General features: G+C 49.4%; 1 annotated feature.

Moving 5' to 3' along the window:
* Positions 1-567: an enhancer, noted in NCBI's record as "NANOG hESC enhancer chr15:88374259-88374825 (GRCh37/hg19 assembly coordinates)". NCBI's record gives its function as "activates a minimal SCP1, AML or CMV promoter by ChIP-STARR-seq in naive H9 embryonic stem cells {active_cell/tissue: H9 hESC(naive)}" and the evidence as "EXISTENCE:reporter gene assay evidence [ECO:0000049][PMID:30033119]".

Genomic DNA, 2,273 nt, shown 5'->3' on the forward strand with positions numbered 1-2,273 from the left:
AACGCAGAAGACGGGTGATTTCTGCATTTCCATCTAGGTACTGGGTTTATCTCACTAGGGAGTGCCAGACAGTGGGCGCTGTCAGGCCTCTGAGCCCAAGCCAAGCCATCGCATCCCCTGTGACTTGCACGTATACGCCCAGATGGCCTGAAGTAACTGAAGAATCACAAAGGAAGTGAATATGCCCTGCCCTACCTTAACTGATGACGTTCCACCACAAAAGAAGTGTAAATGGCCAGTCCTTGCCTTAAGTGATGACATTACCTTGTGAAAGTCCTTTTCCTGGCTCATCCTGGCTCAAAAAGCACTCCCACTGAGCACCTTGCGACCCCCACTCCTGCCAGCCAGAGAACAAACCCCCTTTGACTGTAATTTTCCTTTACCTACCCAAATCCTATAAAACGGCCCCACCCTTATCTCCCTTCGCTGACTCTTTTCGGACTCAGCCCGCCTGCACCCATGTGAAATAAACAGCCATGTTGCTCACACAAAGCCTGTTTGGTGGTCTCTTCACACAGACGCGCATGAAATTTGGTGCTGTGACTCGGATCGGGGGACCTCCCTTGGGAGATCAATCCCCTGTCCTCCTGTTCTTTGCTCCATGAGAAAGATCCACCTATGACCTCAGGTCCTCAGACCGACCAGCCCCAGGAACATCTCACCAATTTTAAATCAGGTAAGCGGCCTCTTCTTACTCTCTTCTCCAACCTCTCTCACTGTCCCTCAACCACTTTCTCCTTTCCACTCTTCAATCTCTCCCTTCTCTTAATTTCAATTCCTTTCATTTTCTGGGAGAGACAAAGGAGACACGTTTTATCCGTGGACCCAAAACTTCAGCACCGGTCAAGGACTGGGAAGGCAGACTTCTCTTGGTGTTTAATCATTGCAGGGACGCCTCTCTGATTATACACCCATGTTTCAAGGGTGTCAGACCACACAGGGATGCCTGCCTTGGTCCTTCACCCTTAGTGGCAAGTCCCACTTTTCTGGGGAAGGGGCAAGTACCTCAACCCCTTCTCTCCTTGTCTCTACCCCTTCTCTGCTTTTCCGGCAACAGGGCAAGTACCTCAACCCCTTCTCTCCTTGCCTCTACCCCTTCTCTGCTTTTCTGGGAGAGGGACAAGTACCCCTCAACCCCTTCTCCCTCACTCTTAGCGGCAAGTCCTGCTTTTCTAGAGGAGGGGCAAGTACCCCAACCTCATATCTCTGCACCCCAATCCCTTATTTCCACACCCTGACCTCTTATCTCTGTGCCCCAATCCCTTATTTCCATGCCCCGACCCCTTATTTCCGTGCCCTGACCCCTTATTTCCATGCCCCGACCCCTTATTTCCATTCCCTGACCCCTTATTTCTGTGCCCCATCCCTTATTTCCATGCCCCGACCTCTTATCTCTGTGCCCCAACCCCTTTTCCCACTTTTCTGGAAGGTAAGAACCCCCAAACCCCTTCCCTCCATTTCTCTACTCTCTCTTTTCCCTAGGCTTGCTTCCTTCACTATGGGCAACCTTCCACCCTCCATTCCTCCTTCTACTCCCTTGGCCTATGTTCTCAAAAACTTAAAACCTCTTCAACTCACACCTGACCTAAAACCTAAATGCCTTATTTTCTTCTGCAATGCCGCTTGACCCCAATACAAACTCAACAGTACTTCCAAATAGCCAGAAAATGGCACTTTGAATTTTTCCATCCTGCAAGATCTAAATAATTCTTGTTGTAAAATAGGCAAACGGTCTGAGGTGCCTGATGTCCAGGCATTCTTTTACACATCATTCCCTTCCTAGTCTCTGTGCCCAGTGCAACTCGTCCCAAATCTTCCTTCTTTCCCTCCCACCTGTCCCCTCAGTACCAAGCCCAAGCATCGCTGAGTCTTTCTAATCTTCCTTTTCTACAGACCCATCTGACCTCTCCCTTCCTTCCCAGGCTGCTCCTCGCCAGGCTGAGCTAGGTCCCAATTCTTCCTCAGCCTCTGCTCCTCCAACCTATAATCTTTTTATCACCTCCCCTCCTCACACCTGGTCCGGCTTAAGGTTTCCTTCCGTGACTAGCCCTCCCCGTCCTGCCCTGCAATTTACTCTTAAAAAGGTGGCTGGAGCTAAAGGCATAGTCAAGGTTAATGCTCCTTTTTATCCCAAATCAGATAGTGTTTAGGCTCTTTTTCATCAAATATAAAAATCCTGCCCAGTTCATGGCTTTTTGGCAGCAACCCTGAGACACTTTACAGCCCTAGACCCTAAAAGGTCAAAAGGCCGCCTTATTCTCAATATACATTTT

Source organism: Homo sapiens, chromosome 15, assembly GCF_000001405.40.
Source record: "Homo sapiens chromosome 15, GRCh38.p14 Primary Assembly".
Taxonomy (NCBI): domain Eukaryota; kingdom Metazoa; phylum Chordata; class Mammalia; order Primates; family Hominidae; genus Homo; species Homo sapiens.